Consider the following 17,573-nt stretch of genomic DNA (forward strand, 5'->3'; position numbering starts at 1 on the left):
GTTATACAGCAACAGATATTTTGTCAATAAAATATGATTTACATTAGCTTAAAATACAATTTTAAGTGCTGAGACCATCAGACCATGGAGTGTGTAAAAATCATGATTTTTCTGGAGGAGCTATATATAATGGCATATATACATATCACACACACACACACACACACACACACACATACATACATATATATATAAAGAGAGAGAGAGAGGAAATAAAAATGCACTAAAACTTATATCAGAATTGAAGAGTATTACTTAGTTACCTCAGATGGATATTCTATTATATTAATGATCTACCTAATCTTTAAACTTTTTAAGTCAATATTTTACCTTTAAAATGAAACAAGAAGGCCAATGATTAGATAAAATTTGATATTTCTCTTTTGCTTCATCTGAATTTTATAATCTTCTGGGTAGTTTCAAATCAAAATGCTATATAGGCGACTTGCCAAAATAATTAAATATGTATAGATTACAAAAAATAGTTCTGAAGCTATTTTTTAATAGCTGGTTAAGTAATGACTGTTAGTAGATAGATGTTTATGGATCCAGAAGAGACAACTTGTAGCACACTAGCCCCAAATAAGACACCATTTTATTCACGAAGAAAACAACAACACTTGATGTAAGTATAAAAGGAAGAGATTCAAGTGTATAAAGATTTTGAGGAAAGGGCTTAGCAGACAAAAGACAAACTAAAATAAAACAACACCCATTTAGAACATAAGATGAAAATGTAGATTTTTTTTAAGCAATCATCCATGTTTGAAGTAACCAACTTACAACTTATATTAATGTGACTAAAAACTAGATGCACCAAAAAAAAAACTTGTATTTACACGGTTACCTATAATCACATTTCTTTGTTATTTTCTTTGTAATTCTTACTCAAGCTAAGAATGTATATCATGTTGTACAAATTTTAAAAGACAGTCAGATGCAGGTGCAAAAATTCATATGGCCCTCCAGAGAAGTAATCACTATAAACAGTTTATTGATCCTTCCAAAAACTTTTGGATATACTTGCAAAAATAGGATCATTCTGCAAAAATATCTTTTAACTCACTTTGTCTATTTATGGGTTTTGTTGATTTAAGTATATATAGCTCTACCTCATTCATTTTAACGGCTACTTAATATTATTGCTAACATAAATGCATCATGCCTCATCTGATGGACTTTATATTGTTTCCAATTTATGATTACAAATAATGTGTCTTTTTGAACATGTGTATACGTCTATAGAATAGGTAACTAATTGTGGAATTGGTTTGAATCTTATGTACCATTTAAATTGACAGCTATTACTAAATAATTCTTCAATACCAATATAACAACTTACATTCTCCCCAGTAGTGTGGGAAATATTTTCTTATGTTCTAATATTACATATTATCAATCTTTCATTCTTTAATCTGATGAATTTGGTGAAAACTATTCTGTTGATTTACATTTTTGTGATTAGTATGATGTTGAGTTCCTTTCCATATTCCTATTCAGAAAATTTGTATTTCTTCTTCTGTGAACTGCCTCAATAAGTCCTTTTTAATTTTTCTGATATTGTCTTTATTTCATAATCATTGTTTTCTGTTATATGAATTGTGAACATTTTTGCTTAGATTATCTTTCATGTTTTCACTTGCTCATAATGCCTTTTTCATAGAAATGTGTTTTCTAAAATTTTAACGCAGGTATATGTGTGTGTGTATATATATACATACATATATATATATATGCAGGCATATGTGTGTGTGTGTTTTGCGTTGCATTGCTTAGAAAATGTTTGCATCCCAGAACCATTAAAAAATACATATTTCCCCATACGCACACAGGCATGCACATCCCCTACATGGGTGCCCCAACAAAAGATGCATCACAGCAAGGGGCCAGGCAGCAACAGGGGATGGGGCTGCTGGAGAGACAGTACTGAGGAAAACTTCCCAGGGAGGTAACATTTGGAGTGAGCCTTGAAGGGAATGATTGAGTCCAGGGGTAGGCATGTACAGGACAGAAAACAGCACGTGGTAAAGGCCCTGAGGTGGCAAGAGGGTTGGTGTGCTGGGGTAACTGTGAGAAAAGAGTGTGCACGAACAGTGGTGGAAGGGAGGGAGGGAAGGTGGCTAGGCAGAGAGAGCAAGGGAGGGGAGGAACAGTGGAAAATGAGAACAGAGAAGCAGTCAGATGCCAGATCATTCTCAGCCTTCCAGGACGTGGTGAGCGCTAAGAACTTATTTTGAGTGACAGGAAGTCATTGGAAAGTTGTAAGTAGATTAACCAGACTAGATTTAAAATTTAAAAAACTACTCAGGCTGTTGTGCTGAGAATAAGCTATAGGGGAGTATATTAGTTGTCCATTGATGTGTAACAATTGCCCCCAAATTTATTGCTTAAAGTGACAGTAAACATCTGCTATGGACTGAATGTTCCTGTCCCTCAAAAAAAAAAAAATCATATGTTGAAGCCCTAATTAGCTCCCAATGGTCTGGTACTAGAAGGTGAGGCCTTTGGGAGGTAATTAGGCTTAGATGAGGTCATGAGAGTAACTGCCATGATGGAATTAGTGTCCTTCTAAGAGGAAGAGGCCAGAGCTCTTTCTTTCCACCCCATGGGAACACTGTGAGAAGGAGGCTGTCTGCAAACCTGAAAGAGAGCCCTCACCAGACACTGAATCTGCTGGCACCTTGTTGAAGTACCTCCTACCTCTAGAACTGTGAACAATAAATGTTTTCATTTAACCCAAACAAAATCCCCATATTTCTAAATTTTATATTTTTTGTGTTCTTGAAGCTTTATTTTTGTATGATTTTTGAGACAAAACTTTAACTTCCTCCCAAGTGAATAGACAGTTATTTCAATTCCATTCTTTGAGTATGCTTCTAGGGGTATACTTAAAGTAGCTGGGATGGATTGAACTGGACTCATTATTTTAAGTGCAGTTAATTATTAACTTTCTTTAAAGAGTGCCTTAAGGCCTTTAAAAAAATCTCTTTTAGTTTTTATTAGGATCATGGTGTTCCTCTTTCTCAACTCTTATATTTCAAGTTTACACCTATGGTATCTTAAGCTATGGTTTCTGGTGATCTTGTTAGTCAGTCTGGTTCAATCTGTATTCCAATTAGGAAATTCCCATTATTTCTGATCGCTGATGGTATATTTTTCAGTTTCCCAGGACTGTTATCAATTTATTTTGTTAAAAATATCTTCATGTCTAAAACACCAAAAGCAATGGCAACAAAAGACAAAATTGACAAATGGGATCTAATTAAACTAAAGAGCTTCTGCACAGCAAAAGAAACTACCATCAGAGTGAACAGGCAACCTACAAAATGGGAGAAAATTTTCACAACCTATTCATCTGACAAAGGGCTAATACCCAGAATCTACAATCAACTCAAACAAATTTACAAGAAAAAAACAAACCCCATCAAAAAGTGGGCGAAGGATATGAACAGACACTTCTTAAAAGAGGACATTTATGCAGCCAAAAAACACATGAAAAAATGCTCATCATCACTGGCCATCAGAGAAATGCAAATCAAAACCACAATGAGATACCATCTCACACCAGTTAGAATGGCAATCATTAAAAAGTCAGGAAACAACAGGTGCTGGAGAGGATGTGGAGAAATAGGAACACTTTTACACTGTTGGTGGGACTGTAAACTAGTTCAACCATTGTGGAAGTCAGTGTGGCGATTCCTCAGGGATCTAGAAGTAGAAACACCATTTGACCCAGCCATCCCATTACTGGGTATATACCCAAAGGACTATGATTCATGCTGCTATAAAGACACATGCACATGTATGTTTATTGCGGCACTATTCACAATAGCAAAGACTTGGAACCAACCCAAATGTCCAACAATGATAGACTGGATTAAGAAAATGTGGCACATATATGCCATGGAATACTATGCAGCCATAAAAAATGATGAGTTCATGTCCTTTGTAGGGACATGGATGAAATTGGAAATCATCATTCTCAGCAAACTATCGCAAGGACAAAATCAAACACCGCATGTTCTCACTCATAGATGGGAATTGAACAATGAGAACACATGGACACAGGAAGGGGAACATCACACTCTGGTGACTGTTGTGGGGTGGGGGAAGGGGGGAGGGATAGCATTAGGAGATATAACTAATGCTAAATGACGAGTTAATGGGTGCAGCACACCAGCATGGCACATGTATACATATGTAACTAACCTGCACATTGTGCACATGTACCCTAAAACTTGAAGTACAATAATAATAATAATAATAATAAAAAAATCTTTTCAGTATTGTTATAGAGTGCAAAGTAAAGTTGAATTATTTGCTTAGCCTTATATTTAGTCCCTCGTTTCATTTATTATTTGGCAGATGCATCCAATAAGAATATAAACTCTTTGAGAACAACCACTTGATATTTTCAGATAAACACTTTGCCTTCTATCTGACAGATATTTGGCAATTATATGATATTTTTGTAGATAAATAGAAATCTTTATAAAAAAATAAGGATCAGATTTATAGATTACCTTTAATCATATCATCCTGTACCATCTCTTTAAATAAAAGATTTTTTCTGATAATATAACACATAAACCAATTTTTCTTTTTATACAGTGAAAACTCCCACTGCTACTTTTATTTTTTTGTTAAAAAAATACAAAATGAGCTTATTGAAAGTAGAAAACACTTAAATCTTTTTGCATCAAGTAAAATGCCTTTATGTGTAAACTGTGGATATTTAAAGCATCACAAGGGATTCACATATATTCACGGAAGTGCTCAACTATGTTTTAATTGATTCTAACTCTAAGGAAAAGGGAAAGAAAACAGTTTTAAAAACTATTTCCATCTTGTTCCTCAAATTCCTATTTGCACTCATGAACTATAAACATTCAGAGCTCGGCTTTGCTTAAGATGCAATGCAGAAAGCCACAAAAGAATAACAATAAGCGTAAACCCAATAATCTACAAGATCACAAATTTACTTGAATCCAAACAAAAGCTTAGGTCTCAAGACAGCAAAATACATTGAAATGCAAAGGGTGACAGACCTTTTCCAGGAGAAACAGAACACATAAAGTATTACTCTTTGTCAGAGCATGGGAAGAAGAGGCGACTACCATAATAGCAGATTAAAAAAAAAGCTATAATAATAAAATATTCTTAAAACTGAGTGTGGTTTAATGTGATAATTTAGAATCCCTGGGAATACCCAACACAAAGAATTTCTTTCACTGAATTTACAAGAGAAAGATGGAAGGCAAAACTGGAAACCTGAGAGAGATCCCTGAGTGTCTCACAAACATGAAACCCCATCCAATCCTGACTCTTCTCTGATACAAAGGAAAACTCCTAAACCACTGGGGAAGAGAAAGAAGACCTTCCACCTCCCTGAAGCAAGACAACGGTCCTGTGAAAGAGGTACAAACAAATAATCTGCCTCTAGAAAAGGAGCAGGGAACCCTTTTTCCTCCAAAGGCAAAGTAAGCTGCAAAGACAAGTTGTCATTGAAGCAGAAGTAAAAGGCAAAGCCATATGTCCCTGAGGGAGGGGTAAGAAACCCCCTGGTCCCACTACAAACTTGTTAGTCATAGCAAGCAATGCTAGTGTATTGCTTGGAAATGGGTAAGAAATTCTGTTGCCACTGGTCCCAGACAAAGGTACAGCAACACTCAGGGAAGAATAGGAGCGAAAGCTGTCTAACCCTGGAAAAGGGGCACAAAAATTGCCCGGACACAAAATTGTATATTGATATTAAAAAAAAAGACAATTGCTGCCCTGGGGATGGGGCAGAAAATTATCTCCTGCCCAAAACTCCCCTAGATATAAGGCAGAGTTTCACTGCCACAGGAGGAGAAGGGCCCACCTTCAAAACCCAGACACGCAGGACCTAAGACCAAGACTGGCACAAGAGAAAAGAGAACCTTTTTTTGCATCCACCATGAATCTTCCACTTAGTAACAGGTCACAGCATTCTACCATTGAGAGAAGGATAAGAGTGTGGAGAGAGACCTTCCAGTAAGGCTGACATGCAGGAAATATTGAAAACTGAGGGATGAAAAGACATATTCCAGGTCCCACGCTAAGCACAAAGTAGCATCTGTCCACCAAGGGAGGGATCTGAAAGCTTTGGCTCCGTAAAGGTAATTATAACAAAAACAAAACCCAAATCCAGCCTATTTGATTGGCCAAATCCTTCACACTAATAAACTGACAATAAATATGCTTTTTCTCCAGATATAAATTTTACTTATGTGAACCTCTAAAATAGGAAGGAGAGGATGGAGGGATACTTTTCACCTCAACTCTAGTGATGGAGCTTCTGTGGTGCCTCTATGAGGACTTTGAACTTAGCTCTCTTCAGTTGATTTTTTTTCCATGCATGAAACTCACGTCTCAGAATGTCTCACTTCTGGCTCACACTTGAGAAAGCTAAACACATTCTATAGGATAGTAGGCAGGATAGTGTTGGCTGATTTGCACTATGGCTGCACTCCCAGAGTATATTGGGGCAAAAGGCTCACAGTAATTCTGCAGACCAAAGGCAGACCACACAGGATAGAATTCTGGCAGATAAATATCTTTGATCTAGTGCAACAAGGTTGTCCAGCTGGATACAGGGATTCAAACAATAAGAGAATGGACATTCGGGGATGCAAAGTAACAAGCAAAAACTTCATGTCCTTTGGCCAAAGGAAATGAAATTAGAAAGATCCAGCAGAAGGAAGACTTCCAAAAACCTTGCAAGCACAGACACACACAGACACATGCGCACGTGCATGTACACACACACTCACATACAAACACACACACACACATCCATACCCCTCAAGAGAGTCTATTTTAAAAGATCTACCAGGCTCACAAAGAGGCTAAAGTATAATGGGACTAGTTCAAATAAGATTTTTTAAATCTCCTTACCTCTCTTTACCACTGTTACCTCTTCCAATCAATGTTGAGAGGTGAGTGGGCATCAGAAGCTAACTAGCAGGGACATATAGATATTCAGCCCAGAAAAGTAAAAACTAAAAATAATTAAAAAAAAAATCTAGCAAGCTGGGAGGGGTGGGAAAATAAATGCAGGGCAGAGAAACAGAGAATGCAACAAATACGCCCTCCAGTCCTTCTCCGGGCCAGAGGCAGCACAAAAGTGGGAAACAAGTAAGATTTGATGACACAATGAATTTAGAATTTTGATTTGTGTGTATATATGGTGGACTATGCATTCTAATGACCAAATTGAGATTTCATTTCTGACTTAAAATGACTGACAGTTCTGTCTACTACTACCTAGTGTAAGCTGAAAGGATTGGGATTTGACCAAGTTTTGATGTGGAGTAAGAAAGATTACTGAGTACATTTTAAAGGTCAGTGGGAGGTAAAAATAAAGTTATGCCTTAGATATGTCAGAGTCACATTTTTAAACATACTGGTTACACAATGACTATTACTACTCCCTAAAATGTTCTCATAATAGCTAGTGTCGTGGGAGTTTTCTCAGCATGTATTATGGATATTGTTCAGTCTCACAATTTGAGGTAGTGCTTCCTACTTTGGTATCCCTAAAGTCAAGTCAATCTAGACTAACTATATTGTATTGAGAAATTCGTATTAACTAACCTAAGCAATAGTTTAATTGTAGTTAAAGTTCATAATAGTATTCCTAAGTAAATGAAGAATTCCTAAAGGACTTCTGAAGTAGTAACTAAGAATTCCATAATGCTAAGTATGATAAAGTAACTGAGTTGAATGTATTTCTTTATTTTAATTCATGCTGAATATTGGTAATTTATTTAAGTGTGTAAGAAAATTACCAATCAGAATATTTATTAATGTAACAATTATATATATAATAATACAACAGTCTTAACCATGGTTTCACCTTCCGTGGTTTCAGTTACTCTTTGTCAGCCACAGTCTGAAAATACTAAATGGAAAATTCCAGAAGTAAACAACTCATAAGTTTTAAATTGTCTGCTGTTCTGAGTAACATTTTGAAACCTTGCACTGTCATTTCACTCAGTCCTGCTTAGCACGGGAATCATTCCTTCATCCTGCATATCCACACTCTATGTTACCTATCTGTTATTCACTTACTGGCCACCCAGGTTGTAAGATTGACAGACCACAAGAAGAGTGAGTACAGTACAGTAAGGTATTTTGAGAGACAGAGACTACATGCACATAACATTTATTATAGCATGTTGTTATAATTGTTCTATTTTATTATCATTATTGTTGTGAGTCTCTTACTATGCCCATTTATAAATTAAATTTTATCACAGGTATGTGTGCATAAGAAAAAACATGGTGTATATATAGAGTTCAACACTATCCATGGTTTCAGGTATCCACTGAGGGTTTTTGAACTTATTTACCTCCGATAAAGGGGGCTACTGTAGCTCTATGGGACTTTAGAGATTACCATGTATTTTCACCTTCTCTCTTTTGACCTTCCCAGCAATCTAACATCTATAATAGACTTCTTTACAGAAGTTTCTAGAGCTCTTTTGAGCTCACATGTGTATATACATATGGGTATATTTTGTGTTTGTCATTACGGATGCATATGTACACATGCTTATTTTGGGTGGAAATAAAGGAAAGGATGTCTTCTCCTCTGTGTTTACTAGAACCCTCTAGCCACCATAGCCAATTCCATCTTTTCATCATTTGATAGGTTTTATAACCCATATTTTAATCTTCTCGTATGCATGTCTACTTTTCAGACAAAAATACATATATTGGTTCAAATTACTTTTCAAACATCTCATCTAGTTCTGGAGAAATAATATGAGAAATATATATTTACAGACTAAATGTGAAACTGAACACTGTTTTCAAGAATCAAATCTCAAGTAAATTCTATGAAAATGTCTTATTCACTGTCAACAGGAGTCAGTATGTGCAAACAGGCTATATTCTTGACACTCAGTGTGATAACAATATTCATTGATCTCAAGAGTTGCAAATGTTGACAAATATCTCCTTTACAATTTTATTTAGACTATATGGCATGACTGACAAATGTACTCATTATTTCCTTTAATAGTTGGTCAGAGTATATATCTTAGAGTCTTAAAGCTTTTCTTCAAGAGAAAAAGTTCAGAGTTAAAGGCAGAAAAATAAGATTGATATTTACCTGAAATCCAATAATGAAGAGTAAAGGCTTGTTCTTAATTTAAAATGTTTTATAAGACATTATCACACTTTAAATTTCATAAGAACACTCTAATGTAATTCATTAGTGTTATCTCAGCATGTTTGCTTCATTACTACGAAACTCAATCTTTATGAGAAATCCTGCCAAAGTTATACAATGCTGAAGATCATTGAAATCCAAGGGTAAGAGGTGATTTAAAGGTGCAGAAAATGATAATCCTACTATAAGGTCAGTGTCATTCAGGTACAGATTACATCCTGTAATCTGCTGTATGTGCCTGTCCTAGGGTTATTTAGAATAGAGGCTAACCTATTTCTGGAGTTCTGAAGTGGGTCTTAAGCTGGTGATTGTGTGTGTGTGTGCGCACATGTGTATGTGTGTGTCTGTGTGTCAGTAGTAGGATTTCTAAGTAATCGAATGATAAATCAGAGAATAATTGATGGGCTACACATTTCAACACACAATTGGAGGGACAGCTGATTATAAAATCCACAGGGCAATTCTGAAGATGCTGGGGACAGGACTGAGCTGAAGAGTAGGGCTTGGCCCTTCAATTGCCAAATAAGCAATCACATGAATATAGCACTGTCCTTTCATAGTATGTGAACAGATTAAACACATCTTTCGGAGAATATATTTGACAGAAAGAGACTGCTTCTCATTCTTCCTGGCTATTCTTCTCTTCATAATGTCATAAAAGAGAAACCTACCTTGGATCATGTCAAACTTATTCATTACTCTTTAACTTTATAGCTCCTAAAAAGTACCTTCATTTAAAGGAAGACCTCGGTTTTCCAGGTATTTACAGGAGCTATGAAATTAAAGAGTAATGTATAATTTTGAACGAGATCCAAGTCAACTTCTCTTCTGATATTATCAGGTGGAAGCATGTGCACCTACTCCTTATGTCAATCAAATAGAACACACCTTCATACGTAAAGTCAGTATATCAGTATAGCAAGGGGGTAGGAGCACAGACTCTGCCAGTTTCCTATTGTTGCTGTAACAAATTGTCACAAACTTGGTGGCTTAAAACAACATAAATTTATTCTTTGACAGTTCTGAAGGTCAATATCCAGGACTGGTTTCACCGGGCTAAAGTCTAGGTGCAAGCAGAGCTGATCCCTTCTGGGGAGTCTCAGGAAGAGTCCATTTCTTTGCCTTTTCCAGCTTCTGGAAGCCACCTGCCTTTCTTGGCTCAGGGCCTTGTATTATGCCATCCTCTTGCTTCCATAGTCATGACCCCTACTTCCTCCTTTGTCCTGGCCTCCCCCTTATAAATTTCCTTGTGATTACATTTAGAGTACCTCCAGATAAGTCAAGATAATTTCCTATCTCAAGATCCTCAACACATGCATAGTTACAGCTATATGGGAGGAACAAGTTCTAGTGTTCTCTAGCACTGCAAGGAGTGAATATGGTTAACACTAATTTGGTGTACGTTTTCAAAACATTACAAAGAAGATTCTGAATGGTCACAACATTAAGAAATGATAAATGTTTGTGGTGATGAATAGGCTAATTTCCTTGATTTGATCATTACATGTTATATCATGTATGTATGTACAAATATGACTTTGTACCCTATAAATATGTACAATTATTATGTGTCAACAAATTTTTTTTAAAAAGTAGCATCTTCCTCCCATCAAAAATCCTTTCACTTAATCACACTGGCAAGTCCCCTTTTCCATACGAGGTAAGAATCAAAGGTTCTGGGGATGAGGACCTAGATATTATTTGGAGGGCATTGTTCAGCATACCACAGACTCCAAAATCAGATCACAGTAACTTGCATATCAGTATTGCTGAGACAATGTTCCAAGGTTCTCTCACATTTCTGTCCACCTTGGGAAAAGAGAAGCCAAGTGCCTTAGACTCTATTTTCAAGGATGTTAATAAGGTAAATGTCCTTGGAAGATAGAGATTACATCTCTCTCTGAAGCAAAAGGCAGGTTTGCTTATAGGCTTAGAACATGGAGAAAGTAACTTTTTCTGGAGCAATCAACAGGCATGCTTATTGTTAAGAGAAAAAAAAATGGGCGTTCCCTAAGCTCCAGATTCGTCTCTTGTAACATGTGCCATGGTATGTGCAGGTGTCACCTTTGGGTTACCCTGTGGGGAGTACAGATCAGGATCCTGAAACAAAATTACAGATACTCTGGCTATTGTTATTGATCTTAGTAATAAACTGTACTTTGTCTCTGAAGTTTCATGTCTCCTGCCAGCATCCATGAACGTGTAGCAGGCTAATGTTTTAGTTTACAAACATAATAAAATCTCAGTGCTTTCACAGTTCTTGACAAGTGGTATCACTTACTAGCTATGTAACTTTGAGAAAAGACTTCACCTGTCTGAGTCTCAATTTCCAATCTATAAAATGGAGCTAATAATAATGCTGACCTCGGGGAGCTGTTGAGTGGATTGTATGGGACAATGAACATAACGTGAGCAATCTTGATACAGAGTAAGTACTCATTAAATGTTCACTATTATTGCTGTCATTGATTTTATTATCACAAAATAAGGTGGTATAGTCTAAAATTAAAAGGATACATCTAGAGGACATAATGTTCTGCCAAACTTGCATCTAATTATAATAGAGGTCAAATTTTGTACTCTTGGGCCCATACTTTACGTAAAATTATAAAAATCACCGTTGGGGACTGTAATCCCAGCACTTTGTGGGGCTCAGGCAAGTGGATCACTTGAGCCCAGGAGTTTGCAACCAGCTGGGGCAACATGGTGAAAGGCTGTCACTACAAAAAATACAAAAAAAAAAAAAAAATTAGCTGAGCATGGTGGCACACACCTGTGTTCCTAGCCACTTGAGGGGCTGAGGAGGGAAGATCACTTGAGTGCAGGAGGAGGAGGATGCAGTGAGTCGTGATCACACCACTGCACTCCAGCCTGGATGACAGAGTAAGACTCTGTCTCAAAAAAAATAAAATAAAATAAATTAAAATAAATAAACAAATAAATAAATAAATAAAATAAAAAGAAAAAGAAAAGAAAAGAATCACAGTTGGGAAGAACTGTACATATAAATCTTATGTTTGCATTGTTTTACTTGCAGTATGACTTACGACTTGAAGTAGATGAATTGAATCTTCATCAATGCCACAACAAAAGAAGCGGCAAAATTATCACCCTTTTCAACCCACATTATCCCTATATGTCTATTATGAAAAAAGTTTGGTAAAGAAAGCCTTTGTATTATGTAAAACAGTGACCTCAAGTCCCCAGTTTAATTATAGGATCTATGGAAACTACAGTTTTTCTGTTAAAGCTGCAAGCATTAATATTCAAATCTAGGTAAAAATGCTTTGAATTCTTTTTAATACTTTAAAAATATGAAATGATATGAAAGGTTATTTTAACATTTCTTCTATTTAAATATCTGCATTTGAGTAGAATGAAGGCATACAGTTTAAAAACAAGTACTGCACTAGTGGAATACATGTAACAATAAATTGAATAGTAAATTATCATTTTTATATTATTTCCTTCCTGGTAAAATTATAATTCATATTACAATGAAAAATAAATCTTGGAAAGGATATTCAAGAAGATAAAAATGAATTCAGTCTTAAGATTCAATGCCATCCCCATCAAGCTACCAACGCCTTTCTTCACAGAATTGGAAAAAACTACTTTAAAGTTCATATGGAACCAAAAAAGAGCTCGCATCACCAAGTCCATCCTAAGCCAAAGGAACAAAGGTGGAGGCATCACACTACCTGACTTCAAACTATACTACAAGGCTACAGTAACCAAAACAGCATGGTACTGGTACCAAAACAGAGATATAGATCAATGGAACAGAACAGAGCCCTCAGAAATAACGCCGCATATCTACAGCTATCTGATCTTTGACAAACCTGAGAAAAACAAGCAATGGGGAAAGGATTCCCTATTTAATAAATGGTGCTGGGAAAACTGGCTAGCCGTATGTAGAAAGCTGAAACTGGATCCCTTCCTTACACCTTATACAAAAATCAATTCAAGGTGGATTAAAGACTTAAACGTTAGACCTAAAACCATAAAAACCCTAGAAAAAAACCTAGGCATTACCATTCAGGACATAGGCATGGGCAAGGACTTCATGTCTAAAACACCAAAAGCAATGGCAACAAAAGACAAAATTGACAAAAGGGATCTAATTAAACTAAAGAGCTTCTGCACAGCAAAAGAAACTACCATCAGAGTGAACAGGCAACCTACAAAATGGGAGAAAATTTTCACAACCTACTCATCTGACAAAGGGCTAATATCCAGAATCTACAATGAACTCAAACAAATTTACAAGAAAAAAACAAACAACCCCATCAAAAAGTGGGCAAAGGACATGAACAGACACTTCTCAAAAGAAGACATTTATGCACCAAAAGACACATGAAAAAATGCTCATCATCACTGGCCATCAGAGAAATGCAAATCAAAACCACAATGAGATACCATCTCACACCAGTTAGAATGGCAATCATTAAAAAGTCAGGAAACAACAGGTGCTGGAGAGGATGTGGAGAAATAGGAACACTTTTACACTGTTGGTGGGACTGTAAACTAGTTCAACCATTGTGGAAGTCAGTGTGGCGATTCCTCAGTGATCTGGAACTGGAAATACCATTTGACCCAGCCATCCCATTACTGGGTATATACCCAAAGGACTATAAATCATGCTGCTATAAAGACACAGGCACACGTATGTTTATTGCAGCATTATTCATGATAGCAAAGACTTGGAACCAACCCAAATGTCCAACAATGATAGACTGGATTAAGAAAACGTGGCACATATACACCACGGAATACTATGCAGCCATAAAAAATGATGAGTTCATGTCCTTTGTGGGGACATGGATGAAATTGGAAATCATCATTCTCAGTAAACTATCGCAAGAACAAAAAACCAAACACCGCATATTCTCACTCATAGGTGGGAATTAAACAATGAGATCACATGGACACAGGAAGGGGAATATCACACTCTGGGGACTGTTGTGGGGTGGGGGGAGGGGGGAGGGATAGCACTGGGAGATATACCTAATGCTAGATGACGAGATAGTGGGTGCAGCGCACCAGCATGGCACATGTATACATATGTAACTAACCTGCACAATGTGCACATGTACCCTAAAACTTAAAGTGTAATAATAAAAATAAATAAATTAATTAATTAATTAAAAAAAAAAGAAAGAGCATCTATCTTGTTCTGTTAGAGAAAGTAACAATTACACCTGGCAAGAATGGCTAATTTAAATTCTCTAACCATTTAATCTAACTTTGCCTCCTGTTGATACCCCTTTTATTTTCTAGCACAGTACCCTACTTTAGTTTCTTTATAGCAGTTATCATTATCTTATTCATTTATGTGTTTACTGGCTTATTATTCCCTTTCTGCTGTTGGATATATGCTAAATATGAAGCTTTATCCTCTTTACTGAAGCATTCCTATCACCTAGAACAGCACCTGGCCCCGATACGGCATTCACTTTTTATTGACTGAAAAATAATAAATCAAGTAATTAATTTTTAAAAAAGGAATAGTATGAATTTTACAAAAATTTTGACAAAGATTCCAGGTGGGTGAAAAAATACACATAGTAAATATCTCGTCTTTATGGAAGTTTATCTTTAATAAATCAGTAATATGTTTTCACTTAGCAGATGAAATGAGATACATGTAAATATAACAATGGACAATTTCCTTTCTCATTGATTTGATTGCTGTTTTCACCCATGAGATTCCTCAAAGCCAACAGTATATGCAACATTTAGGGGGTTTTCAATAAACCTCTAGGAGAAAAAAAATCAAATAATGAATAAAGATGGATTTTTTTGGAAATGTTGTTGTTTTTATTTCTTAAGAGGGAGAATCTGAGCTTACATAAAAGATGTCCAAGATATTTATGTTTATTTACAAACAGCAAACTCTTTATACCCTTGTACTTCAAACTACGTAAATTTATCAATGTCTCAGAATTTCTATCAAGCTTCCAAATCATGTGTCAAACTAAGCATTGCCTCGCAGTCTTCAGGTTGAAAGGTAGACACTCTACCTAAATAAGTGAATACACATAGAATTTAATTTTTCTGATGCCAAGAATGACAAGTTGTCATTTGCCAAATCTAAGTCTCTGCTTTGACACGTTAATCTCATATTGTAATGTGTATCATTATTCTCTTTAATGGAAAGAAAAAAGATAAACTAATAAAAGATATTAAGCTGTTCCTTGTGTAGAAAGACAAAAATGTTAAATATATTTCAGGTGTGAAAATTTGCAAAATGTTCTCATAACCTTCATACTGTCAAAGCAGTACTGGACAGATATGCCTGGCGGTCATTGTGGCTATTAGAGTCGATCTCTGTTGTGATAGGTGGAATGCAAAGAACCACCAATGTCCTTGATATTATTCTCAAAGTTAAGATTATTAGCAGGAACATCCAGTCATAGTACAGGAGCTGACACAGTTTAAAAGGAAACCAAGAACTCTCTATGTTGCATTTTGGTCCTTGAAAGTGTCTGTGTTGGCCAGGCATGGTGGCTCATGCCTGTAATCCCAGCTCTTTGGGAAGCTGAGGCAGGCAGATCACCTGAGGTCAGGAGTTTGAGACCAACCTGGCCAACATGGTGAAACCCCGTCTCTAGTAAAAATACAAAAATTAGTCAGGCATGATGGTGCACACCTGCAATCCCAGCTCCTCAGGAGGCTGAGGCAAGGGAATCACTTAAACTTCGGAGGCGGAGGTTGCAGTGAGCCAAGATTGCAGCACTGCACAAAAATTAATAATAATAATAATAATAATAATAATAATAAATGCAAGTGTCTGGGTCAAAAACAAAACAACGTAAATTTTATCTACTTAGACAGAATGTGCAATTTCTTTGTCCATCTAAAACTGTCAGGACCCTATCATCTGCTATCACATTAAGAGAAAAGTAGGCAGACAGCCTCTGTCACATCCAATTTAAAGTGAAAATCTTAAATTAGATACTCCTTTGGAATTTTAAATTATGCAGGATTTACGTTGCCTTAATCCGTAAATTATATTAAAGACAAAAACAGGTACGTTTTTATTTTAGCATAGAAAGTATACTTTTTATCAGGTTTGATTTAAAGTAAAGTTGTGTTGAATGAAGAATATTCTCATGCTCTCATTTCCTCTAAAAGATTGGAGAGACCACCATTTACACCATCCATGCTGTAAATAATTTTAGTCTATCTCTCTGCTTTTATTTTCTCATCTTTTCTCATCTCAATAAAGTTCTGATTCATTCTGCACCAAACAACGTGATCGATCCTCCTAAAATATCACTTTGTTCACATTATTCTTTGACTCAAAAGCATTTCTTTTTATTCCTTTGGGATTTTTTCCAAACTCCTTCACTTACCTTCAAGGCCCTTTATTTTAGCGCATTTTAGTGCCTTTCACTTTCGACTCTCTTGTGCCATTATTATCTGTAAAGGAACCTCCAGCAGCTTTCCATTTAGGTCCCCCACACCCTCTTTCTAGAGATTGTGCTTTTCTTTTTTTATCATGGAATTTCTGGTTGCAGAAACATCCTCCTCTCCCTCTTTAATGTTTCTCCATTAAGATCTAGTCCAAACACCATCTCCTGCCGAAGGAGTTATCTGAGTATACCCACATAAAGATATCTCTTGCTTCCTGTGAATATCCATTACATAGGCATTCTCTATTAATCATATATTTCTTCAAGACAGCTTTGAACTTATTAATTAAATGCTGCAGTGTCTTGAAACTTTTTGTGTGCTTATATCATCTCCAAAGGTAGATTATGAACCCCTTGAAGGCAGAAGTCATTCCCTAAAATTCCTTTTATCTCCTGCGATATAGCTATCGTGATGTCCTTCATACAATAAGCACACAATTAATGTTCCTCAAATTATGTATTTCTAAAATATTCAAGAAGTAAGCAGACTTTATACATGAGGAAACAGGTCCAGAATCATTAGTTAACATGCCTAAAAATGACTGGCAGCCAGTGAAGATCTGGTTTGATTTATTATTTGCAATCTTTTCTACTGATACCAAAGTTAACATTCTTTTGTTACTAGATTACTTGTTCCTAAGCCAAATAATTTATAATATACATTGGTTTTATTAAAATATATCTCTATCTGTTTTTATGTATATGACTTCATATATGTACCTATAAATAAAAATAGATATAAATGTTTTAAGTTTCTCTGGAGATACTGATATTCCAAGGGCAACTCTAGAAAACTTCATTTCAGTGATGTGTAAAGTAAAAAATAAAATGCAAGAATTGTGATGACAATGTGGACATTGATATTTTTCATGCATTTTGAGTGACATGATCAATAGTCTAATGAAAACCAACTATTACAAGTCTCTGAAATCCTATTAAATTTCATCTTCTACCAT

At 35.9% G+C, this 17,573-nt stretch overlaps 1 protein-coding gene across 3 annotated transcripts in view; it reads right to left on the reverse strand.

Annotated features, from left to right (window-relative positions):
• LRP1B (LDL receptor related protein 1B) overlaps positions 1-17,573 on the reverse strand; it is a 1,899,594-nt gene that overhangs the window by 799,683 nt on the left and 1,082,338 nt on the right. The gene's annotated exons all lie outside the window — the stretch shown is intronic.

Source organism: Homo sapiens, chromosome 2, assembly GCF_000001405.40.
Source record: "Homo sapiens chromosome 2, GRCh38.p14 Primary Assembly".
Lineage (NCBI taxonomy): Eukaryota > Metazoa > Chordata > Mammalia > Primates > Hominidae > Homo > Homo sapiens.